A 25,762-nucleotide genomic window follows, 5' to 3' on the forward strand; every position below is an offset into this window, starting at 1 on the left:
AAAGCTGTGTCCAGGCAACAGCCAACAGACTTTGAAAAAGGACTTAACCAGTATAAGAGATGACTAAATTTAGACTTGTGTATTTCTTTTTCTGTTGCTTGTGTCTTTGATCCACTTGGCAGTTAAAAATTGAAGTTCCTCAGACCTTTTTTTTTTTTCCGCCTGCTTGTTTTGCTAGATAAACCGTTTGCACAGAGTGGTGTGTGTGCTTGCACATGCTTAATTTCCCTGGCATCTGATAAATGTTTTGAAATAGAATAATGCTGGAAACATTTTTTATTACTTTAAATTGCTTTGCTTAAATAGAATTGATTCTTTTCCTCGACTGCTGTATTGTTGCTGCTTTTGTTTTTAAATGAATAAGATCACTCTAACTACGTTTCCTTCTTATTAGTCCCATCGTGTTCAACCATCACTTCCTGTAGTGCTTACTGGCAAATGAGACTTCCCATCCTCACGTGGCTACACAGGCATCAGTGAGACCTCTCTGACCTTGGGCTAGGAATTTGGAATTCCTGGTCTGTAACGGGGAGAGATGAAGCTGCAAAACAAAAAAGCATAGGTTGGAGGTTGGAGGTCTGAGGTTTAACCTTGGATCTATCCCTAAACTCTGTGACCTCAAGCAAGGTACTTTTCCCCCTGAGCTTACTTACTCAAATTTGGATTTGAGTCAAATGGCCCCTAATTTTCTTTTCAGTTGTGAGCGTCTAGAGTAACTTCAGTTTACTAGATAACCAACCCTGTATAAAATTTGAGATTTGATTATCCAAAATGAAGTGCATGAAGGCAGGTGCTCGTTGAACTCAATGGTGTCTGAACGAGCTCTAGAACCTGTGACAAATGAGCTGTGAGATAGTGTTATGATTTACAGCTTTCCATGGGGTGGACATCATAATTTTTAAAACGCTGACTTTGTCAGAGAAATTAGATAAAATGCAAACAGCGCTGTGAGATTTCTGAATTGGGAAGCAGAGCTGGAGTAATTTTCCTTTGGTATGTCTGCATCTCTGCTACCCATGGCTTTTCCAAAAGCAGTAAATGCCTGTCTATGAGCTTCCGATCCCCCTTGGATAAAGTTCAAACTGTTACCGGGCTTACTATGAGATCTGGCTCCTGCTATTCTTCCCCTCCTTCTCCTCTCTTCAACCACACTGAATTACTTGCTTCCCCAACGCCCCAAACCATCCTTTTTCTTGCCTTCCAATCTTTGCAGAGACATTCTCTTCATCCTCACCCCATCCCTTCAGGGCTCACGTTAAATGTCACCTCCTCCAGGAAGCCTTCTCTACCCCACACCAAAGACCAGATTGGGTGTCCCTCCTATTTGCTCCCATGATGGCCTGAACTTTTCCTTATCATAGTACCAAATACATCCTATTATAACTGTCTGCTACTAGCCTGTCACCTCATCTATACTCTAAGCATCTTGAGGGCAAGAACCTATCTTGTTCACCAGTGTTTCCTCATTACCCAAGCCACATGAGGAAACTGCTCAGACAGGTAGACTAGCTCCAGTCTGTATAGCTCAGCTTATTAGTGAAGCCAGAATTCACTCCCAAGCCTGCATCTCTCAAACCCCACCCCCTTCCCTTCTGTAAGACTTCTCATCCTGACCCATCTTTCCCCTAATTGTGAAGATGTCTTTTTTCTTGAGATGGCTTCTGTGATCTCATAAGAAGGACTGGGGGGAAAATGGAATTGGTTTTGCAGACCTTTGATTTAGAGACTCATTTACAAGATTGTCTGCTCCCGTGGATCAGGACTGCAAAGGAGAACACTTAGGTCAATTGGCTTAAATGGCACTGCGTCTGCTGTGCAAATAGGGGCTTAATAATTGTGAGTCTCCTTTTCTCCCTGGAGTTTGACATACTGTGCCATCCAGATGCATTTGTGAGATAAGCGTGACAGCCCCCCACCACCTTTTTTTTAATTTGCGAATTTTGAAATTCAAACACGCCTCTCTGTCTCTTGGATTCCAACAGCTTTAAATGTCCTTGGATTTTTTAGAAAGCGCCCAAGTCTATAATATATGTACAGCCGTGGCTTTTATCAAAATGTAGACATGCCTCTCATTACTGCTAATTGCAGTTCTACCACCGGGTGATCTGGGCTCAAACCTCCTAGTTCTGTGACTGGTTATCTGTTTTATAGCATTGGCTACTTAAGATACATTACAGTGTCTTCCAGGCAGCTGCTCTTTAGGTAAATTAATACCTGGGGATCTTTTTCCTTCTCTAGGAAACTTTAAGTACTGTAACAGGCTTTCATTTAAGCCTGTGCAAGGCTTATTTCACCAGATTGCTATTTAGAAGTTCTAACAAAACACCTTTATGAATAGTGACTGTAATACCCTTAATCCGCTAAACTTCCTGACATTTTAAACTAAGTGGATAGCTAGGAATGAAATCAGGCTTTCCCATCTCTCTAGTCTCTTCCTCTCCGCAGGCCTGCCTATGCATCTTCAGGATCAAGGTGCTGGGGTGCAAATTCTTTCTTGCTGTTAGGCCATCAAACTAGCAAAGACGAGGAAACACAATGCACTTTCTTCAGACTCCAGGTTTTGTAATTACCTGGCCTGACCCATAGCTTTTTTAAAAAAATGAGTTTTGGTGAGGTTTCTGTTTCTGATAAAAGATTGGGATTTAAAAATATTAAATGTGATTTTCTTGTTTTTTTTTAAGCCTATGTTTAATTTTGGAAAAAATATTGAAAATGCAGATAAGCAAACAATAGGGATAAAAGAAAAAGGTTGTAATGTTATATGACACAGAGAAATCTATCGTTAACACCGTGGTGCTTTCCAGGTGTTTTTTGTTCATGTAAGCACTTAGACATTTTGTTTTTTGAAAGACCAAACATGTCTTGAATACTTGCTTGCAATGAGTCACACACTAGTTTAAATTCTTTACATGTATTGATTCATTTGGTGTTTACAACACCTCTGGGAGTAAGAACTCATTGTACAGGTGATGAAACAGACACACATCGCTTAAGCAACGTGTCCAAAGTCACACAGCTAAAAGTGACAGAGCCAGGATTTGTAGCTAGACAGTGTGACTCTATAGTCTTTAATTTTAATTACATTATACAGCCTCTAAAAAATGAGAGATGTTTTATAATCTAATTTTGTAATTGTGTAGTACAGCATGAGCATTTTTCTTTATCAGGATTCATTAACATCATTCTTAATGGTCACACACAGGATTCCATTCTATGTGGCGGAGCCATAATTTGATTAACTGTCTTCCTACTGGTGAATATTTAGGGTATTTCACTTCTTTTGTTCTTATAAACAAAAATGCAAAGACCATTCTTGGACCTAATGTATGCACACTAGTGTGGGCTGCCAATAAAGCTTGTATTCTATATTTCCCTTATAATTCTGACATTTGTGTGTGCAGATGATGCCCTTGAGGCACTACAGAGGAGCATAGTCTCGAGTATCTTCTGGCAGTGGTGATGGGGCTACCCTGAACCATTCACATACTTTTTCTATCCGTACTCCATTGTTCCTGGTATGGTGTTTGGAAGAAAGTTGGCTGAAGAATGGAGTTTCTGTCTAGGTCCAGCTAGCTCCCTGCAGCTGAACCTCCACATATAGCATCAGTTTACATTGTGCTCTGAATTGAATGAGAACATTTATCTTTCTCTCTAAACTTAAGCAAAAATATAGAACTTGAAACTATTAGGTTGGTGCAAAAGTAATTGTGGTTTTTGCCATTACTCTTAATTGTGAAAACTGCACTTACTTTTGCACCAACCTAATACCATGATGGTGCCTACTGATAGAATCACCCACTCATGGCCGGGCACAGTGGCTCAAGCCTGTAATCCCAGAACTTTGGGAGGCCGAGGCAGGTGGATCACCTGAATCAGGAGTTCAAGACTAGCCTGGCCAACATGGAGAAAACCAATCTTTACTAAAATTACAAAAATTAGCCGGGCACAGTGGCACACGCCTGTAATCCTAGCTACTCGGGAGGCTGAGGCAGAAGAATCACTTGAACCCAGGAGGCGGAGGTTGCAGTGAGCCGAGATTGTGCCACTGCACTCAAGCCTGGGCAACAAAGTTAGACTCCATCTCAAAAAAAAAAAAAAAAAGAAGGGGGAAAAGAGCGACCAGGGGATAGGGTTGTTGTCAATACACTTTTAATACTCAAACCAGTGAAGTGGCTGTCTGTAAAGTCAAGAAAATCATCCCCAATGTGCCAATTACCAGTCTCAAGGCAAAAATCCAGAGGTGATAAAGAGTAGTTTTAAGCATGGGCTTTGAAATCAGAAGCCTGGGGGCTTACCAGCAGTGTGGCCTTGGGCATCTTACTTAACCCACTGCTCCCCAATTTCTTCATATAAACTTGGGATGATTATACCTACTGCATAGGGAATGTCAGAAGGATGAAATAAGACCAGAAAATTCAGCACAGTAAACACCATGATAAGAACTCCATAAATGGGAGCTTAAGAAAGCCCCAGAAGGACACTGATTTATGAATAAGTTGGACCTGGGTCCAGATTTTGGCTTTAGCATTTTTTGGCTATGTGACCTTGAGCAACTTACTTAACCTCTCTGAGTTGTAGATCATCTGTATATGAGAGATAATAAAATCTATCATACTGGGATATGTGAGTTTTGATACCAACGTTGTATACAAAGTTAGTAGAGTCTCTGGCGCGCTGTTGGTTTTCAGAACCAATAGCAAAATTTGTAAGTACTTTCTGTGTGCCAGTCACTCTATTTAACTTCTCTTCTTCCATTCAAAACAGTTTTTCTCTTAGAGACTAATGGTCAAATGGAAGGAGTTTAATTCTTAACCAGTCTATAACTTTTTCAGCTAGCCTTCCCGCTAGGCAAATACCTAGAATGAGTTGGGCTCTTTGCCAAACTTTTTTTTTTTTTCCTTTCATTGTAGACAAGACTGTGGTTCAGAGGTTGGGAAAGGTTTTGTGAACCTATTTTATAGTCCCTATAAACTCAGAAGGGAAACAATGAAATACCAAAGCTAAGGTATAGAACAGGTTTTCTTACAAGAGAAATTACGACCTCATGGAGCTGTAGGAAGGGTTCTGCGGGAAAAGGTATTTACAGCATTTCATACAATGCCCGGTCCCTAGAAAGTCTGCAGTAAATTCAAGGTCTGTCCCCAGTAGGGGACAGATGGATCATGAGTCAAATTCACAAGGCAAATGAATTTTCTTTTGAGAAGGAATTCAGTGGGAGATCTAGGGGTATAGTTTTACAAAACATTCATACTTGGAAGGTTCTTAGTGGACCTCTGGGGTGGCAGCCTGCTCAGTAAGCAGGAGAGTAATCTGAGAGCCACAGTCAGGAAGTGATTTGGCCAAAGTCAATGTGGTGACAGATGTAGGGGCTCAGCCCCAAGCTTCTGTTCTGTTCCGGTGTTCTCTCCTCTGCCCTGCAGCGCATCCTACAACATGAGGGCTGCATGACCGGGGCCAGTGGGAAAACTTTGGGTGAAGGAAGTGGAGTGAGATCAGAGTCCCCAACTGTTGGCTTAAGTCGCAGTCTGCCTAGGGGCTGCCAATGATGAGCACCTACAAGTTTCCTCTCCAATCCCTTCCTTCTCCCCGATTACACTTCCCCCTCCTCACCCCAGCCACCTGTCCCTCTCCCTCATTATCACCCTGTGGTAGACACAGTCAAGGATGTCCTTGGAGCTGGACTCCCATTGGAAAAAGCCAAAGAGTAGCACTGAAACATTTTCTTCATTCCCCATCCATCTTAATAGAGATAACAGTGCAGCTGCAAAAATAAACATTTGAACTCTCTCTGTGCCCCTACAGCACCCTTAATAAAATATAGATCCTCAAAGCCCATCATGTTCTTTTAAATCTCCTTTAATTTTCTGTTTAAAAGACCATGGCTAGGTGTATTTGGTCATGTCTGTAATATTCCAGCACTTTGGGAGGCCAGGGTGAGAGGATTGCTTGAGGCCAGGAATTCAAAACCCACCTGGGCAACAAAGCAAGACCCTGCCTCTACAAAAAATTTTAAAAGTTAGCCAGGCATAGGCCAGGTGCAGTGGCTCATGCCTGTATTCCCAGCCCTTTCGGAGGCCAAGGCAGGTGGATCACCTGAGGTCAGGAGTTCAAGACCAGCCTGGACAACATGGCGAAACCCTCTCTCTACTAAAAATACAAAAATTAGCTGTGTGTGGTGGTGCACACCTGTAGTCACAGCTACTTGGGAGGCTGAGGCAGGAGACTCACTTGAACCCGGGAGGCAGAGATTGCAGTTTGCCAAGATCACACCACTGCACTCCAGCCTGGGTGACACAGCAAGACTTCATCTCAAAAATAAATAAATAAATATAAATATAAATATAAATATAAATATAAATTAGAGGCATGATGGCACATGCCAGTAGTCCCAGCTACTGGGGAGGCTGAGGCGGGAGGATTGCTTGAGCCCAGGAGTTTAAAGTTTCAAGGAGCTGAGATTGTGTCACTGCACTCCTGCTGGGCAATAGTGAAACACTGTCTCAAAAAAGGTAGTTAATTAATAAATAAAAGACCTAATTGCCACATGGATTTGCTTCTTTGGGTTTTTTTCCTGTTTTCCTCTAAATAACCAGATTTATGATCATGACCAAATAGGCACGATAGCCTCACTTCATACTGTTCCCTGAAATACGTGTCGAGCATTGCCATCTGCTGCTACTCCTTATGGCCTTGGAGACAATGACACAGAAATTTTTGTGGCTGTTGTTCTTAGCCAGGGATGTGTGGGATGGGGTTTTATGGGGTAATCTAGGTTTTGCTATTTAGAAAGCTACATCTAGGGTCAAGTTTCAAGATTTTCACCAAAATTGTCAACTTTCACCATTGCACAGCATTCCTATACAGGCAGCCTGAGTACAGATTTTTCTGACTTTGTGGACAATAATTTCCTTCTCTTCTTCCCTATAATATGTCCTCACAGTTTACTATTTCTTTTTTTCTTTCATGGCATATCTCATGGATTGCGGTTAAATGTATTTGTTTTTTATTTGACTGCTTGGTACCCCCACATACACCCAATTATAAGCTCCACGAGGGGGTAGAGAGAGACATCTTCTCTTTGACATACCACTGTTTCCCCAGCACAATGCCTGGCACACAAAAGTCAATATCCAGCTGATATTTTAAAGAGAACAATCACTGCAAATATAGGAGGAGCGACTATAGTGTGGAATTTGGTAAATGACAGTATCTCAATTGGACCAAACCCAAAAGTATTAGAAGGAGCTGAAGGACTGTGGGATAACCTGTGAATGGCCCTGGCCCACTAAGTGTCTTAGTGTCATCTGTTGGCATAGTGACCTGGAGGTGTTCACTCCTCTAATGCCGTGTCACGGAAATCAAACAGGATTTGGCTCCAGTCTGTCGCTTGGCAGTTGTATGACTACGAGCAAATCATCTAAATTCTCTGAGCGCCGGTTTCTTTTTCATAACATGGGGATAATAACGCGTGTTAGAACAGTTCTTAGAATTAAATGAGATGAGATGTGTAGGCAGTAAAGCTTATAAAGTTTAATTATCGTTATTGTTGGGAGTAACTTCGACCTCTTATGTCCTTTACTGGAAATGCTGCCATTTTGGAGTTGATATAGCCGATTGGCACCCTTCCAGAAAAGACATCCCTGATGTTGGACTGAGGGTGGAAAGTCTGGATTTGTGAGTTGAGGCTGAAGATGCTGGCACCCACATGGTCCTGTTCCTTAGCTGTCTTTAAGGTTTTGTTAACAATCAGCTGGTTTCAGATTTAGAATGGGAAGGGCATAAGCATGGATAACAGATTGGATACTGTTCCTGCTGAATGAAATCTTTTGTTTAGAGATTAAGGAATATGTGTGCTTTTACATGTGAGTACTCACAAATGTGGAGTCCAGACAATCTCAACAATTAACCAACAAAAGGTAACAGAAACTGCAGCTCTATAAGATAAAATATTTGAAGCTGAAAGGCAGCTCATTCTGTTTTTGTAATATAATTGGAGCACAGTATCACCACTTCACTGGAAACAGTAGGGAGGGAGGGATCCACAATCTGGGTAAATGCAAAGAGTGAGGTCCTGCTTCCCTGGACCCAGTGGAAATAGAGATTCTGCATAAGAACATGAATAGGGCCAGGTGCAGTGACTCACGCCTGTAATTCCAGCACCTTGGGAGGCCAAGGAAGGCAGATTGCCTGACCTCAGGAGTTCAAGACCAACCTGGCCCACATGGCAAAACCCTGTCTACTAAAATACAAAAAAAAAAAAAAAAAATTAGCCAGGTGCGGTGGCGCACACCTGTAGTGCTAGCTACTCAGGAGGCTGAGGCATGAGAATTGCATGAACCTGGGAGGTGGAGGTTGCAGTGAGCTGAGATCGTGCCACTGCACTCCAGCCTAAACAACAGAGCAAGACTCTGTCTCCAAAAAATAAAAATAGAAAATAAAATAAAAGAAAAAGAACTTTAACAGGAAGGGAGGCCCTCTTGCTTATCCTTTAGGTCCTAATTCCCAGAAAAGAATAGAGGAAGTGGAAAAGGAATGGGGGAGATGCAGAGGCACACTGACTACCTTTCAAAGCTCTTTATTGATACTTTTCTAGGATCAGTTGTTATTAATGGTTTGAGAGTTCTCCAGAGGATAGTCTTTCTTTTCCACTAATGTCCCCACACCCGCTTACTAAGCTTCAAACATAGTAACCACCTTTCAGCCCCTCCAGCACACCCAGCCTCTCCCTCTGGTCTCTGCACTTGATGCGTCCCCCTTCCACTCCCCAACCCCTTCGTCTGGAACACCTGGCTTTCTCCTTCTGATGGCTGGTTGGTGCCCTCTCATCTTTCATGTCTTCCTTTAAATGTCACTTCCTGGGAATGGCCTTTCCCTACCACACTATTTAAAGTAAGTGCTTCCTGTGTGACTCTCTTTCACAGCACCCTGTTTATTTCTGTCATCACTTTCCCCGTAACATCCATAATGATTTTGCTTGTTTGTCTCCTCCATGTAAAGAGCTCTGTCAGGACTGGGGCATTTCCTTTTCCTCCGCCTTATATTCTCAGTGTCCAGTCTAGTATCTGGCAAAGGTTTTGCATTGACTATTTGTTGAATGTTGTTCATTTTCTACCCCAAAGCTGCCTAGTTTCCTATAATTCTTGTTGAAAATAATAAACTCCCTAGTATTAACTGCTGTACTTCAAAATCTTTGCTAAAGACTCTCCTTCCCACTGCCTGTTGCAGATCACACCCAGTAAAATTCCACACCAGGCAATGTGATGTGTGTCACATCTTTTAATGTGTCCCATACACACAGATCCTCTTTTAAACCTTTATGTTTTCCTTCTTGTTCATTCATCCAGGAGAGCTTTCCTTCCTCCCTCCCTCCCTTCCCTTTCTCTCTTTGTTCTGTTACTAGCAAGCAAGAAGAAAGCAACTGAATTGAGTATAATACTGATTCCCAAATTAAGGAAACAAAAAGTCAGTATAAAAGTGAAACTGCCAGGTGTGGTGGCTCACTCCTGTAATCCCAGCACTTTGGGAGGCCAAGGCAGGCGGATCACTTGAGATCAGGAGTTTGAGACCAGCCTGGCCAACATGATGAAACTCAGTCTCTACTAAAAATACAAAAATTAACCAGGAATGGTGGTGCATGCCTGTAGTCCCAGCTGTTCGGGAGGCTGAGGCATGAGAATCGCTTGAACCCGGGAGGTGGAGGTTGCAGTGAGCTGAGATCGGCCCACTGCACTCCAGCCTGGGCGACAGAGTGAGATTCCATCTCAAAAAAAAAAAAAAAAAAAAAGTGAAACTAAAGTGGTATTACAAAACTCAGAAGCAGCTGCGCTTAACCTGGGCTTTATGGACAGGATTCAGGGGATCAGTGAGTCCCTGGAAATTCTGTGTAAAATATTGTTTGTGTATCTTTTTTCTTATGGAGAGACGGGCCCCTAAGTGGGTCTGTGACCAAATAAAACCATTGAACTAAAGTCCTTGGAAGTACTACACAGTCCCCAGGAGACTGCATGGAATAATCAGTTCCATTTTGTCCTCCTATGCTTGGTTGATCCAGGACCACATCAGCAGTGATTTAGGCACTGGGAGGATATGGCTCAGAACAAAGGCAAACAGTACACCTGTGCTCGAGGAGCTCCCTGTGTTGAGGGAAAGACAGACTGTTGAAAGACAATGTGTTGACTGGTTGATGCCATGAAGAAAATCATATGGTGGAATGTAATTGGGCCAGAGTCTAAGAGGAAATCCCTGAGGAGGTGCCATTCCAACCAACATCTGACCCGTGAGAAGTGGGCCGCCAGTGGGAGACATGGGGAGGAGCATTCCAGAAAGGAGGCACAGTGCGAGGGCCTAGGAAGTGGGAAGAAGCTTGGTGCATTTGTGGGTCCTGTCTTTGGACGTAATGAAGAGGAGAAGCCAGATCACATCAGGGCTTCTAGGCCAAGGGAACAAATTTGAATTTTATTCTAAGTTCCCTGGGAAGCTATCAGTGGGCTTTAAGCAGGAATGTGACAGAATCTGCTGTACACTGGAGAAAGATTGCTGCCCCTGGGGTGTGCAGGATGGAGCCTAGCAAGGCATGAGGGAAGGCTGAGCGACCCGGGAGGTGTCTGTTGCAGGAAAGAGATGATGGCATCTTGGTCCAAGGTTATCTTATTGCAGATGTTCAGTAGTGATTGGGTTCAAGGTATATTTGGGGACTCTAGGCAAAAGGCCTTCTTAATGGATTACATCGGAGGCAAGAAGGAGGGAGAGAATTAGGACTGTTAATGTAGAGTCATATTCTGAGATACAGAAGACTTTGGGAGTGGGGGTGCGGACACATTGGAAGTTGGGAGCAATAGTTTTGAGTAAGGTAAATTTGATTTCAGATGTGTTGGGTACACAAAGGGGCCAGGCTAGAGATTACAGACTTTAGAGTTGTCTGCCTTCACCTAGTATTTGAAGCCATGGATGAGATCACCCAGGAAAAGAAGTTAGTTAGAAGTGGTAGTTATAACTTAGTTAGAAGTTAGTGAGAAGTTATAGTTAGAGAAGAGGAGGGGTCCAGGGATGGAGGCCCTGGAGTTCTGGAGAGGTGAAGAGGAGGGTGAGCCTAGGAGATTGAGAAGCGCAGTTAGGGAGGTAGGAACCAGGTACAGATGACAGTATGGAAACCCGGGATGAGGCCCACTCAAGAAGGGAGAATCTGTCGATGCTACCTGCTGCTGAAAACTCAAGTAGGGTAAGGACAGAGAGTTGACCATTGGCTTTGGCAAGGAGGAAGCCATTGATGTTCTCAGGGAAAAGAGAAAGTGGTCTCAGTGGAGTAGTGGGAACAAACATCTTGCCTGGTGGGTTGAAGGATCACGGAACATGAGAAGTACAGGAAAACACCTCAAAGGAGTGGAGGAGAATATGGGCATGAGGTAAAAAAAAAAAAAAGTTTTTGTTTGATTTGATGAGATTAGTGATATATTTTTCAGCCTGCAGGGAAAAGCCAGGAAAGAGGGTTGAATATGTTGGAAGAAAAGGAACGAAGTGTCTTCACTAGCATTGTTTTCATAAAATACTCATTAGAAATAAGTGAACATCTTTTTAGATTTGTGGTTTTCTGTTTTGTCTAATTATGTACTGTATTCCAAGAATAAAGTTTTCTTCTACTCTTTGATACCTGAGTAGAGTTCATCAACTACATCTTGGTTTTATAGATGGCTCTGTGAGTAACCTGGAAACCTTAACATCACTGATAACATTGTTTCTGTGGAGAAAAGTGTTATGAGTTCTGGGAGCCCTTTGGAATTTGGCCTGTTTAGAAGCAAGCGTCAAAAATGACAGAGCAATCCTGGCTCTTGAAAAGCGCCAAAGGGCATCTGCCCTCATGGAGTTGGTTTACTTTCCCTTTTCCTCTCTCGTTGCCTGGGTCTCCCTTATCCCTACTAATTATTATCTTTCAAACCATGAGAAAACCCTGACTCAATTAGAACCTGTAGCTGCAAATAATTCAGAGCCTCTAACATGAAAGGTGTGATTCTTTTAACCATAGAAAGAAAACTAAGACCTCCTTAAAGCACTATGTCTCCTACAATAAACTCACCCCTGTAAAAATCATGTGTAATCAAAACGATATGTTTAGTGTTGTACATTTACATGAACTTTTATAAAAAGAAGAAACTCCATCTATTAAACCTCCAATGTATCCTCTCTCCCTCAGAGTAAAAGACAAGCTGCTTACGCTGACTTGCAGGGCCCCATTTAGGCACTCTCCTCTCTCGCTGTACCCTTGGACTCTCTGGCCTGACCCCCTCCTCACCCCACTTTGGTTCACCGCTCACTGCTCCAGCCACTCATTCTTGGAATGCATTGCAAGTCGTATACTATCTCAGGGCCTTTGCACTGACCATTTCCTCTCTTGAAAGTCCCTTATCCCCAGGTATTCAGATACCCAGCTCCCATACTTCTTTTAGATTTGTAATAAAAACCATGCCCTCAGCAGACCTGCCATAGCCAGCCCATGTAAAATTTCCCACACCCCACCTTGACAAATCACATCTTCTTCTTTACAATACGTTGTTCTCCCGAGCATTTATTGCTAATGTACTGTAAAATTTACATTTTGTCTCATTTATTTTATAGTTCTACCACTGAAGCTAAGTTCCATTAGAGTTGAGATTTTTGGTCTATTTTGTTGACTGCTTGTATCTTCTGCACTTAGAACAGCACTTGCCACATTGCAGATGCTTTATAAATATGGTAGTTGATGAATGAATAAATGAATACATCAACATTTCCTAGCTTACCTTGATGACAAATCAGAATGTTTACCTATTATGTTTGCCTAGAGCGAGGAAACAATGGAAACTTTTTAGAGCGTGTGTGTGCATCTGTGCCCATGTGCCTGTGTGTCTCCATACACACAATCACCATCCCATTCCCAAGTTAACTCGGATGTTGGACAGATTCTCAAAGAAGTAATATCGTAAAGATACAGTCAGTTCCAGGGACAGCATAGAAGGTAAGGGGTGGTTTGAAGCATCCTTGTCAGCCAGAACTTGGGTCTGTCCCAACTTTTTTGTCTTAATATATCTGGACACTACTCCTTCCCTCAAACTCACCCACTGCCCACCCCCACCTCTGCTTCCCACTCCCCACGGCAGATGCCTCAGCAGTATTTCAAGTGGACGAGGGCCCTGAAGGATGAGATGTGAATGATTAACTTTGGTTGGGACTCCTTCGAGATTACAATCTTTTTTTCATTCACCTGGGAATCACCACCAGACCCTCCTCTCCTCTTTGAGCAGATCTTTTATTCCCTCCCTTTTCAGTGGGAGAGGAATGGCTCTTCATTCCCCTTTGAAAGCTTCTGTTTGCTGAGCAAATGCTGACCACACAGAGACCTCGCTTGGAGCCAGTTACTGCTTCCTTCCCTAACCATCCCCCAGGGCCACAACCCCCGCTCCCTGCTTCCACTGGAGAGGCCACCCTGGCCAGGGGGAGAGCCTTTCTTGGGGAAAGTCTTTGAAAGCTACCAGGAACCAACTGGTAGGATTTTTGGAGAGGGAGTCAGGGTTTTGGAGAACATCTTAATCCTTCGTTTTCAAATAAAGCTTGTGGCTATAACATAAGTTTGCTTTTGAGTTCTCAGTAGTAATACAGTTGTTCATTGTTCATAGCATCTGTTTACATAGTTCTTTCTGAGTGCCTTGATTACAGGTTTTAATAGGGATTAGTCCATGCAACCCCTTCCCATCCCAGAGCTGGGACTCTCTCCCACCCACCTCCCCTTCCAGCCTCTGTACCATAATGTTTAATGTAGCCATGCCTAGACTGAGATTCTTTTTCTTTTGAAATAAGTAGCCTGCGGAATTAATGCATATTTTTGTTGGCACTGCATCAAAATTGACATCACCGGAAATAATGTATGTGTGTCGTTGTTAACTGTACAAACAGGTATCATTTCCTTTTTAGGTTCAGAAATTCTCTCTGTAGGCTAATCTTTTCAATCGAATGCTTTGCCTTCAGACGTCAATGGAATGAGCTAAGAAATGTTATAGTCAATGATTTTTGCATCATTAAAAGTAGCACTTAGGGCTGGAAAGACTTTCTGCAATGTTTCTGTGCAGTCTGTGAGGATTTAAAGTAGTTTTTCATTCTTAGATTTTCTTCAATTTGACCCGCTGTTGCAAACTCCCCTGGGACCACATGGAGGGCCCTTCCATTCAGTGCTTTACGGTAATGGTTTCAGAGTTTGGTGTTAGCTTTTGCTTTGCTGAAACTTTTCACAGCTGACTTGATACCAGCACTGAGGCCTGACCTCTCGATCCTTCAGCACTTCAGAGGTTAATTTTGTTGGGGGATCGGATTTCTTTCCTGGCCTGGGGAATGGTGATCCCTGCTAGCTAGTCCTTTAGTTACAGAGTTGCTGGGTGCCTGGGATTCCCTGGCCCAGTGTGGGCTGGCTCAGCTGGCTAAAGGACTTGCCATCCTGTGAGATTCATTCAGCTTCTTTGTCCGCTGTTCTCCAAGGGCCGCAATGTAGTGAAATGCTCTGGCCTAGGAACCTTACAAGGTAGGACGATTTTCTAAAATTTCTGGGGCCAGGGGGTGGGTGTGGTGCATGTACTGCCTTGTCTTCCTTGGCCGGTATTGAAAAGCCTGGTGGAGCAGCCTGTGGTGCAGCTGCCTAAATCACTGTGAGCTATGTGGTGGTGTGTGAGTGGGGGTGGGAGGGGGCGGGGGGCAAGGTTGCTGGTCAGGAAATTCACCTCTTCTCCTCTTCCGCCCCCATTGATTCTAACCTTGATGGTTTCAGAGGAAACTGGGGCATTACCCGAATGTCCTGGGTCCACCTAGACATTTGGGTAATGTCAATATTTTCCAAACCGTCTTATCAAATTAGGCTACTGAGCCCGAAAATCTGGGTATTGATCACCTAGCTGTCTTAAGTCGTTATTCCGGACTTTTCAGCTGGTGGGGGCAGTACAGAGGGGTGAGCCGGAAAAAGGCAGTGTGGCCCCAGGCAAGGGCTGCTTGTGGTTCAGAGGGCCCTGATTAAAAAGACTTGCAGTTGGAGGTTTTGTTTGGAATTTAAGGATCCTGGTGAACTTGTGGTTGTGTTTATACAGCAAATTGCTGGGTGTGTGTGTGTGTGTGTGTGTGTGTGTGTGTGTGTAAACTAGGCTCCAGGAGAGATGGCATGGGAGGTTTAAGCATAAGGACTTTTCTTGCTACCTTATGACCTATAGAGCTGCCCAGGGAAGCACATTTCTGTTTTTAAGCCAGACAAGGGGAGAAGAAAACAATGTTCATGACCACCTACCACATGCCAAGCATCTAGCAGACATTGTGTCATTCAATTTCATTGCAAAGCCAGGGAGATTACATTCAATTTTGAAAATCACCAGTGGGAACCAAGAGAGGTTAAATAACTTGATTAAGGTTACACAGCTGATAAGAGGCAAAGCTGGGATTGGAACCCAGGTTCACTCTACCACCATGCCTTCCTGGGTGGGCTTGGCATCTGAGCTCGGAATGGTTTTACCTGTTAATTTTAAATGTGACTTCAGCTGGATGAAGGGCGTACTTTGTTGTGGAGGACTCACCGAAATACACAGGATGCTAGCAGCACAGCCTGCCTGGGCTTCTCGGATTCAGCTTGTTTCTGGAAGGAAGAGGGCTGTGTATTAAGAAGCAGCCCTGCTTTGGCAGTAGGACCTAGCTGGGAGTTCTGTGATCTTGAGGCTCCGGGGCTGCTGGATTGATCAGGCTGGAGCTTTAGTTTGTACCTGGTTCAGGAAGACTTGATCCCAAGTGAAGGTCAAATCAGGAAAGGCCAGTGACCTTGGAGCTGGCCTTGGGCTGCTGAGGCTGTGCCCTGGAACTCTGGGTCTGCTTCTTAAGACGCTGAATGTATGGAGTCTTGGAGGGAGAAGATCTACACCCAGCATATTAATGCTGACCAAAGCTATTGGCGCTAGCTGTTCACATGTGTGCTGGAGGTGCCTAATTAGCTAAAGCTGAGCTTCTCTTGGGCTGTAGAAATCTTGACCTGAGGTCCCTTCGCTTTCCTCTTACCCCAAGAAAGAGAGAGCTTAAGGGCAAGTCCTTGACAAACTGCAAAATGAGGCCAGCCTGTTTTTGGGAGATAGCCGCCTCCCTTGGCTGCCCTGGGGCAACTGTGGTTCTGTTTTGTGCATTCAGGTTCCCACATCCCTAAGATATATTGGGAGCTTAGTGGAGGGTTGGAGGGAGGGAGACTATGGGGGTATTGAACTCCTGTCCCATTCTACTTAGTTTTAAGACAGCTGGCCAATGCCCTGTCTGGGATTTGTCCCCCATCCCCTTTCCTTTAATTTCTTTGAGATGTTTTAAAAGTAACTTGATTGCATTAAAGTGTCCTGTGTATTTTGAATAACAGTTGGAAGTTCTGAGTTCTTATATGACCATGATCTATTTAGATGCATCTTTACCTCTGTTCTTAACATTGAGTCAATGTGATTTTAAAAAGCTTGGGTTTCAGAATCAGGCAGATCTGTATTCAAATCCAGCTCTGTTTGTTAGCCCTGGCACCTTGGGCAGGTCACATAGCCTCTCTAAGCTTCAGTTTCCACATCTATCCAAAGGGGGCATTAGTAGTTTGTGCCTGATAAGAAAGTGGAGAGGTGTTTATGGGATGGTGCTTAGCATGGTACCTGGAACCTATTATTAAAACTTTTCACCTTGTATAAATGTTTACTGTTATTTTCATTTGCTATAATATGCTGAACTCTGTTGATGTTTAGGGGAAATATATCTTCTGGTAAACAGAAAACTAGGATGAGTTTGTTGATATCCTTGGCAAAAGCCAGCCAGCAGTGGCCCAAGGGTAAGCAGCCCTCTCCAGAGGAGCCTTGAAGGAGAGAGGGCTTTGTGTAGCTGAGGTCAGCAGACACGCTGGTGCCTAGTGTAACAATGAGGGTCTAAGGCATCCGGAGCTTTGGTCTGGGCTTTCTAACGCGACCAAGCTCCTGAAGCCAAAGGGAAAAATTTCATGCTTACTCAGGGGACCACCTACTTGTCAAGGAATGAGTTACCAAAATGGGACAAAGGTGCGGTGGGGTGAAACTCAAGCCTGATGGCTGCTAAATCCCCTTGGAGCCTTTTTTATGCGGTTTGTGTTTTCCTCTCTCCACCTCAAATCACTGGCCTTGCACCTGGCACCGTCTGTAGACGTTGCTTCTCCCCTAGGACACTATCCATTTATGGCAGTAAGAAGCAAGTTCTTACACTAGAACTTAATCATCTGTTTGAGAATGTAGGCCTGCATCTCCTTCCTGCAGTCCTTGCAGCTTCCCTGGATCCTGTACTGCAACTGACATGCATGGACTCTCTCCCATATACATGGAGAGCTGTACTTAGGCTACCTGATTTGGTCCCACCAAAATGATTATGCTAACTGGATGTTATTAGAACAGTGCCACCCAGGAGGTAAAGGTGCCCTGATAAGGAGATGGCAGAGCCAGAATTCAAACACAGACCTATTTTCATTTTTTCTGCAGAGCTGTGGTCTCTCCATTTGGAGCCTCCTGGTATTAGTGGTACTAGATGAGACTAAATTTGCTGGGGTTAGTGACTACATTCTGTCCTTGCATTAATTCCAGTTTAGGCTCTGGATCATCTTGCACCAGAACTGCAAACTATGTAAGCTGGTCCCAGAGCTGTAGTCCAGAGACAGGTGGCTTGCTTATAGTTTTTTTTTAAATTTATTTTTTATTTTTATTTTTTTTGAGACAGAGTCTCACTCTGTCACCCAGGCTGGAGTTCAGTGATGCAATCTCGTCTCACCGCAAGCTCTGCCTCCCAGGTTCACGCCATTCTCCTGTCTCAGCCTCCCGAGTAGCTAGGACTACAGGTGCCTGCCACCATACCTGGCTAATTTTTTGTATTTTTAGTAGAGAAGGGGTTTCACTGTGTTAGCCAGGATGGTCTCGATCTCCTGACCTCGTGATCCACCCGCCTCGGCCTCCCAAAGTGCCGGGATTACAGGCGTGAGCCATCGTGCCTGGCCAGCTTGCTTATAGTTTTAATTAAAGTAACTGTATCTTCTTTGGTGTGGGAAACTTTGAAGTCCTTCAAAGTCTAATGAACACATGACGAGCGTTCATTAAAATGTGTAAAATGAATAGATAAATGCGATGGTTGAACACTCATGTGTCTGTGTTTAAATCTCAGCCTCAACATTTCTTAGTTGTATGACCCGTGGGACTATTTCTCCAATCCTCAATTGCCTCATCTGTAAAATGGGTATAGTGTTAATATTTATCTAACAGTAACTGGGAGAACATATGTTACATAACAACAGAGCCTGACACATAGCAAACCATTAATAAGTGTTGGTGATTATTTTTATCAGAGTTTGGAGGATTAACTGAAATAATGTATGTAGTGCAGTTAGCACAGGGGCTGACAACTGTAAATGTCGATTAAAGTTGGCTATTATTATGCTTTCCACATAGACTACAAAAGGTAGGACTCTGCAGGAGCCCTGCTTCATTCTTTGAAGGTGGATTTTCTTAACAGGCCCCAGCAATAGTTAGAGGAGATGATGCTCCCGAGAAAACCTCCTGGGGAGGAAATAGTTAACATACCTGTTTGGTGGGAAATGTAGGTAGCCAAACCCTTTCTCTTCCCCAGGGGTTACTACTAAGCCTACAGTTAGGCTTGCTCACTCATCCACACCAAAGGATCTCGTTCCGCTCGGGCCCCGGGGTTTCACGGGAACAATTGCCTTGAACAATAGCCAGAAAACGAGTTCCACCAGTCTGGACTTTTTTGCAACTGAATGCAGCTGTCTGGCGGGGGGCATGGGCCAGCCCTGTAAATGGGCTGTGCCTTGATTCTGGAGCAGAACTGGAAAATTGAGCAGGTAAGTCCTGGATGCAGCTGGTCACAGCTGCGCAGTGTGAGCTTAGTCACCTGGAAAGAGGCAGACAGAGGGGCGGGGGCTGGCCCAGACTGTTTCCAAGGACAGTAAGGGCCTCCTGGAAGCAGACCCAGCCTTTGGAGTTTGGGGAGGATTAGGATCCTTGCTTTGTGAAGACTGCTTTTCAGAACCGTAGTTAGAGAACCTCATCTCTGCTCACCGGCTGTGGTTTTATTAGTAAGTAGAGAGGAACTAATATATATCTACAATCTGATTTTTTTTACAGCATCGTTTAGCATGTCTTTCCCTTGAATAAACAACATTATCTCACAGGGAGTTCATTTGAAAGGTGTAATGATCCTCCCTCCAGATCCTTCAATAACTCCTCCTCCCGGAGTCTTTTGCTGAAAGCAAGGGTGTGTATATCCTAGTGGAAAAATCTGTTTAATCATCCCTGGAACCTTGGGATTCTATTTTGCTTTTTTGCTTCATGAGAGATGAAATTGTAAATATCATATCACATTAATTCAGGACCATTACAGATTCTTGCTTCTTTTAGATACCTCTCTGGAAGAGCTTGATATTAAAAATTTGCCTATATTAAATATAGTTTCTCAGGGGTCCCAGTGAAGTCTGGTTTACTTTCTCAGTTCTGTGGAATTCTCACTCCTCACAACAGTGGAGCAAAATAGATGTGTGAAGCTGACATGATTTATGCTTCTTTCACCTGCATTTTTTCATAGCAAATCGCTTGTCTTGGGGTTGTTAAAATTGTGCTTTAAGCCCTCTGAGTGGCATTTGGATTCCTGACACGGTGATGTCAGCATCCCTTCTAAGACTGAAACTGGATCTCCTGGTTTAATGGGCCCTTCCATGTTTGAATGGATTTTCTGGTCACTTTTGTAGAGGCTTTTCCCTTCACATCTGTATTTCTCCAAGAGGTAGTAGAGAAACAGCTGAGGCTGAGGCTGTGAGAGCCTTGATTCTGGTTAAAATGCTACATGTTGGCCAAAATGGGGTCTGTTCTTGATACACTTGGTGACTGCTGGTAGATGGAGGTTCTTTTTGATTAAGCTAGTTAACAGATTTCAAAGCTGATCTGTATGTACTATAGCTGTGCGCTACAATCTATAAGACACTGCCATCTTTCAGATGAGCTGGAAGGCTGCTTGCAGTCATTCTGCCGTGGTTTGAGTCTCATCCTTCTGATGAGCTCTGCGTCCTAAGTCTCCTTTCCATCCGGGGGAAAATGGGGGTGGAATAATATAAATAATGTGCCTACTACAGTGCCTGGCATATTTGGTAACGCTGTCAGTGGTGGCTTTAAGTATTAGGCAAGATTGCATCCTCTTTCTTTGGATAAATAGCATGGTCTGGTTCAGACACTCTATTGTGAGTTGAGTTGTAACGCCTCTATACCAGAGTTTGCAAACTCAAATTGCAGGACCAAGCAGGTAGCACATGTGAACTGAAAGGCTCCCATGGGGATTGTATCAAATAAGAGAACATACTTCTGTCTAAAAAGGGCCGCTAACTCAGGGCTACCTAAAAATAATCTGACAGGTGAAATCAGCAATGAAAAAGCCCAGACATTAGAAAATGGAGTTACCTGTTCGGCAGCTTTTACTGAACGAGGGGAGACCATTCAGTGTGGAGACCTCCAGTGTGCCCACTTGCCTTTGTACCAACTTTTCTCTGAGCATAAATGTAAAGGACGTCCGTTGGAAAGGAACCTTTGGGATGGCTTAGTCCAGCTACTCCATTATAAAGAAGAGAAGACTGGGGCCTGGAGAGGATGTGTCTTGTCTGAACCCTCACGGGTGGTAGTTCTGTGGAAGCCTGGAGCAAAGGCCTGGCTCTCCTTGCTCCTGGCTCTTGCTGTGTCCATGTGTTGAAGAAGAAAGCAGCATAGCTAAAAGCGTTGGTGGGCCCGGGCTTTGGAACTCTGCCAGAAGAGCTCTTTGTGCTCCAACTTGGCTGGTGGCTTTAGGAGATATGGGAGGCTATAGAAATGATGTTTGGAACCAGTGTTGTTTCCACTTGGTGCCCTTTGCTCATCTCCCTATTTTATGTTTTCATTTGTGTCTAAGCTATGTTCTTGTCTGTTATGTCTACTGGATCTATGGTCAAGGCAGGGAAAACTCTGAATTCTCACTGTATCCCCACCGCCTTGCACAGTGCCTGGCACACAGGGGCAGTGGCTCAATGGATGAGATGAAGAAGTGAATTCAAAGCCCTTGGCTAAGGGTCTAAAAATGTGGAGTTTATGAGAAGAAACATAGAAAATGTTTCATAAAATTCCTTCCACCTATACATTGGCTAAAAATATGTGAAGGTTATTTTAAAATCTGATCACTTATAACTCCAGTTACGTTCTTATCTGACTTGACCAATGTAGGGCATTTCATTAGTGGAGAAAAAGGTACATAGCTGTGATCTGGTTAGGAAATCATGCTTTTGTGTTGATTGTTCTGATGAATCAATGGAAGTATCTTCTAGCCATTTCTCTAGATGTTTCAGCCAAAGAAGTCAGGTATATCTGTGATAGGCTGTCTTAAAATTATTAAAAAACCAAAAAGATAGGGAAACCAGCCAAGCTCTGTGTCCCATATTCCTGTTAGTTTCCAGGAGGAGGCCGTGGGGTTGTTTTGCTTATTTCCCAAGGTTGTCAAACACAATGCTATCTCCAGCAACATTTTCAGAGCAATTTTGGAGCTGCTTTGAAAGTTTTATTGTGTAGAGTGAAGGTGAACTGGAGTGGCAAAACCTGGTGAGGAGAGAAGATGCCATCGTGGGTTCATTTATTCTTCTAGTCATTCATATAAAAATCATTGATTCATTCAAAAGATGAAACCTGCTTTAATACTTTAAAAAATATCTTATTTTTAAGAGTGCTTTTGTGCCCAAAAATAACTTCTTAGAGTTAACTAGGATTTAATATTTAATCGAAGTTTTCCGTTTTTTATCTAGATTTTCTTAGAAATCACATCTATAAAACAAGTATTTTGTTCATAAATTAAGATCATTTTCACTTGTTGTCAATTAGTACTTTATTCAGGCAACAGATTACACTTACCTACAAAATTAGTGCTGTTTGAAAGCTTGGATAATTAAATTTTCTTAAATATTTTAGACTGCATTTGTAAATTTAACATACCTGGTTTCCTTAAGCTCTTCAGATGTCTGACAGGGTAGATTTACCAGCCAAACAAGCAAAATCTTTCTAAGCACTTAAGCAACTCTTGCAAATCAAATAAATTAGAGTTACAAATGTCACAAATTATTTTCATAAAGATTTCAATTCTTTTTACAACCGTAATCCAATTCTTAAACATTTCAGCTTAAAAGTCTCAAGTAAAAAATCAATAGTCATTTAAAATTGAAATCAGAAGACTGTTTTGTCAGATCCTGTTATATGCTGTGTATTCTTTTAAATGTTATAAATACATACTGATTAACCCAATGATCACAAAGCCTTAATCTTAATATTATGATTTACTTCATCATTCTTTTTCATCTTTTTAAACCTTTCCCAGATTTAAAATCACACACTCTGAAATAAGGGTAGTCGGTTTATCATCTCAGGTGGGCTCAGCGCCATCATATGGTTTTTCTCCGACTGTTTCAGGACCAGGACACAGGAATGGTCCAATCCTCTTCCAGGAATGATGGTTCCAGAATCATAGCTGCGTACACTGTAGTTCTTTCTGCTGTGTTATCGAGGTCCCCAAGCCACTTCTCTGGAATTTCATTTCACCACATAGTAAACACGAATTCTCTAGGTTCCTTTCAAGTTGCTATCTTAATCACTTTTTGTAACTGCTTTCAACATTTATTGCCCGATTTGGGTCAGTGGACTTTTGTGCCTCATCCCAGGTTGTACCTAATTTCCTTTGTCACTTGATTAGATTCAACCAGTGTCCTTACTGCCTGAGTGAATTCTGCATGCTTTCCACATTTTTCCCATCTGACTCTCAACCACATATCTGGAGTTATTTTACAAACAAGTTACGTTTCCCCATTAGTTAGCATGAGTATGCCAAGTGACAAAAAGCAAAAGAAAGGAATTTACTATTTCTCATGGCTGGATCTCCCAGGGGTGCTTCTGGCTTTCAGTATGGCTGGATGTGGGCACTCAAGCGATGTCAAAGGCACACTTCCATCCCTCTCAGCTCTGCTTCCCACTGTGCCAGCTTCCTTCTCAGGGAAGTGAGAATCAAGTAGCCACTGGCAGCTCTAGGCTCTATTGCATTTTTCTTCATTTTCGCTTTGTGTGTGTGTGTGTGTGTGTGTGTGTGCTTCATTCTTCTCAGCGTTTCCTGTGTAGTCACATAAGTTTGGGGAATGCTCCTTTAGGCAAAGTTATGGTGATCTTTACTGGACTTCACAGCTGTTAAAATGTTGATGTACTGTTTACAGTGTGAATCTCCAACAAGGCAGGAGATTCCACATTCCCTTCTTAGGGCAACATTCTTATCACAGAGCATCTGGTGGAACTGGTTTTCCTCAGAATACATCTGCAAACTCACTGAACTAATCTTGGTGGCTCCTGATCATTTGTACCCTGAATGGGAAAAGGACAAGTTAGAACTAAGTGACTTTATGTCAAGATGAACTTGCCAGTATCCCAGAGACCCAGAAGCAAAGGAGACATGGCTGGTTTTCCAGCTGCAGGGGCAGCTTTGGTTTCTGGCCACAGACAGCTCTGGCAAATATCGAGGCTGCCCTTGCTCATTGTGGCCTTCCCTCGTGTCACTGCCCTTCATCCTTGTCATAAGTGTCCCCCACTCCCACCCATGGATTAGATCCCTGGCTTCCCCTCTTCTGGGTGGCTCAGTTACAAAGGCTTCCTGTCAACTCAGGGTAAGCACGCAGTGCTCCAGGCACTGATATGGGAAGAATCCTGTGTATCAAGGGCCACATGCCCCTCCGGAATATTATGTTGGTGTTGAAAGGACATGGGGGAAGAAAGGTTACAATTTCAAAGCACAAAATCTGGGACTTGGATTCATGAGCATCTGTTACAACTGCTCTCTTTCCTCCCTGCCAGCCACGGTCCTCTCCCACCATTCCCCTTTCTTCTTCATCAAATTATGAGAAATTTTAGATACATTAAATTCCTAACCCCAAAGAGCAGATGCAAGAAAAGACACATGAGATTTTCTTTTAATCACTAGAACAAATTTGAGTCCTTTTCCATCTGTGACGCCATGCTTTCCCAATCAGATCCTCCTGTGGTTACCAGCCTAGGTGAAACAGGCACAGAAGCTGTGACCCTGCAAAGAATCATTGGGCAGGGAGCTGGGCTTAGAATCCACTACTGGTGGTGAGTTTGCAGCAGAAACTTGCTCTATCTTGCCTCTGCACATTGAGTTTGTCAGGAGGTATTTAAGGAGCACAGACTGTGTCTTTGGAGATGGAAGGCACGTGGTCCACCGAATGAACTTGACATTGCTGCAGCATTGCCCCTCAGTCCTCACGGCCTCAGTTTCTTCATTATGAAACACCCTTAAGAGTGACTAGGAGAGTATGTGCAAATGTTGAATAGTTTGGCATGTGGCACAGGCTCAGGGAACAGCCGTTGTTGCTACAGAAGGCAGCATGACACAGACTAGAAGGAGCACATATTTTGCAATTAGACATTTGCTTTTTAAACCCAGTTCCAACACTGAATGACATCGGTCAGCGTACTTATTCTTTCAGCCTCTATTTCTTCATTTGTAAAATGGGCAGGATGATACCTACCTTGCAGGTATGATATGAGGACTGGAGAAACCTATAACAATATATTTAAAGTACCCAGCACAATGCCTGATCATGATAAGCACTTAGTTGTTATCGCTAAGCAGGCCCCTGCATATATTTGGACGATAGGACGGCCCTTTGTATAGAGAATAGCTAGAAAACTGTGTAAGAGTGTATAGAAGCAAATAGAAATGTGTGACACTATGTAGGAATTTAAAGTAGGAGATGATGTGGGTGGGCTGGAGTATTTGAAGAAAGCCTTAAAGGAAGAATTTGGAACAGGATGGAGGGCTGGGCACAAGAAGTAGAATTACAGGAGTGAAGTGTGCAGAGTTCCAGAGCTGCTGGACCCTTGTGGATTCATTCACAATAAGCCCCTTTTGAGCCCTCACTCTCCCTGCCTCATCCTCCCACCTTGGGACCACCCTCACATTCCCCTGCATTTCTGTGCGATGTTCCAGGTTGGGTTTTGGAAGCCAAATAGTGTTGAAGGAGAAGGTGATGAAAACAGGTTTTTAGTAAGCCTTTGTCTTCCTGCCTGATCAGCAGAGCTCAAGATGTACAGGCAGGTATCTTCCAAGCTGCTGGAATGAACTAGAACTTTGGGGTTATGTGTGTGTGTGGCAGACGTTCTGTTGGCTTTCAAAATCTCAACCACTCAGCATTTCCCAGGTTCCACGCTGCCACTTTGTAGGGCTTTCAGCAAGACTGTGGAAGACTGAGTGGTAGAATAATGAGGTTAAGTCAATGCTTTGGTATCAGACCTGCCACTCCTGGCTGAGCGGCCTTTAACCAGGCTGCCTGGCCTCCCAAGCCTGGCGTCCTCCTGAGAAAGTGGGCTGTGTCACATCTGGTGTGTGCTGAGAATTGACATAATACAAAACTGTCTGCAGTCACAGTAAAGAGGGTAGTTGGTTCTGGAATCAGAATGGCTCGATCAAGATCCACTCTGTCTCTTCCTAGCCCTCTGACCTTGTACAGGGTATCTATTTTTTTCTAAGCCTCACTTTCTCTGCCTGTACAATAGAAAAACAATAATACCCTTTTCCCCTATAGGTCAATTAGAGTAGTGTCACACTGATCTTGGAATTCTGCTTTATTGTCTACGTGACTTCTCACTTCTGTAAGTTTCGATCAGCAAGT

General features: G+C 43.4%; 1 protein-coding gene and 1 long non-coding RNA gene across 51 annotated transcripts in view, besides 3 other annotated features; one reads left to right on the forward strand and one right to left on the reverse strand.

Moving 5' to 3' along the window:
- NAV2 (neuron navigator 2) overlaps window positions 1–25,762 on the forward strand; it is a 776,366-nt gene that overhangs the window by 663,355 nt on the left and 87,249 nt on the right. For 3 of the 50 annotated variants that reach the window (XM_047427837.1, XM_005253214.5, XM_047427838.1), the window contains exon 1: window positions 14,500–14,542. The exons of 46 other annotated variants lie outside the window; for them this stretch is intronic. In XM_047427837.1, coding sequence (XP_047283793.1) covers window positions 14,517–14,542 — 26 coding nt within the window. In that variant the 5' untranslated portion in view covers window positions 14,500–14,516. Of the gene's footprint in view, window positions 1–13,965; window positions 14,206–14,499; window positions 14,543–25,762 lie in introns of those variants that run through there. One more of the 50 variants, NM_001111019.3, reaches the window with a different exon arrangement.
- On the reverse strand, window positions 258–15,894 carry LOC124902644 (uncharacterized). Its single transcript, XR_007062616.1, has 2 exons — window positions 15,759–15,894; window positions 258–15,634 (listed from the first exon to the last, which is right to left on the reverse strand). It is a non-coding gene; the product is annotated as an uncharacterized LOC124902644 (long non-coding RNA).
- Window positions 16,596–17,180: an enhancer, noted in NCBI's record as "H3K27ac-H3K4me1 hESC enhancer chr11:20046732-20047316 (GRCh37/hg19 assembly coordinates)". NCBI's record gives its function as "activates a minimal SCP1, AML or CMV promoter by ChIP-STARR-seq in primed H9 embryonic stem cells {active_cell/tissue: H9 hESC(primed)}" and the evidence as "EXISTENCE:reporter gene assay evidence [ECO:0000049][PMID:30033119]".
- Window positions 18,134–18,785: an enhancer, noted in NCBI's record as "OCT4-NANOG-H3K27ac hESC enhancer chr11:20048270-20048921 (GRCh37/hg19 assembly coordinates)". NCBI's record gives its function as "activates a minimal SCP1, AML or CMV promoter by ChIP-STARR-seq in naive and primed H9 embryonic stem cells {active_cell/tissue: H9 hESC(naive and primed)}" and the evidence as "EXISTENCE:reporter gene assay evidence [ECO:0000049][PMID:30033119]".
- Window positions 18,786–19,436: an enhancer, noted in NCBI's record as "OCT4-NANOG-H3K27ac hESC enhancer chr11:20048922-20049572 (GRCh37/hg19 assembly coordinates)". NCBI's record gives its function as "activates a minimal SCP1, AML or CMV promoter by ChIP-STARR-seq in naive and primed H9 embryonic stem cells {active_cell/tissue: H9 hESC(naive and primed)}" and the evidence as "EXISTENCE:reporter gene assay evidence [ECO:0000049][PMID:30033119]".

This window comes from Homo sapiens, chromosome 11 (genome assembly GCF_000001405.40).
Source record: "Homo sapiens chromosome 11, GRCh38.p14 Primary Assembly".
Classification (NCBI taxonomy): domain Eukaryota; kingdom Metazoa; phylum Chordata; class Mammalia; order Primates; family Hominidae; genus Homo; species Homo sapiens.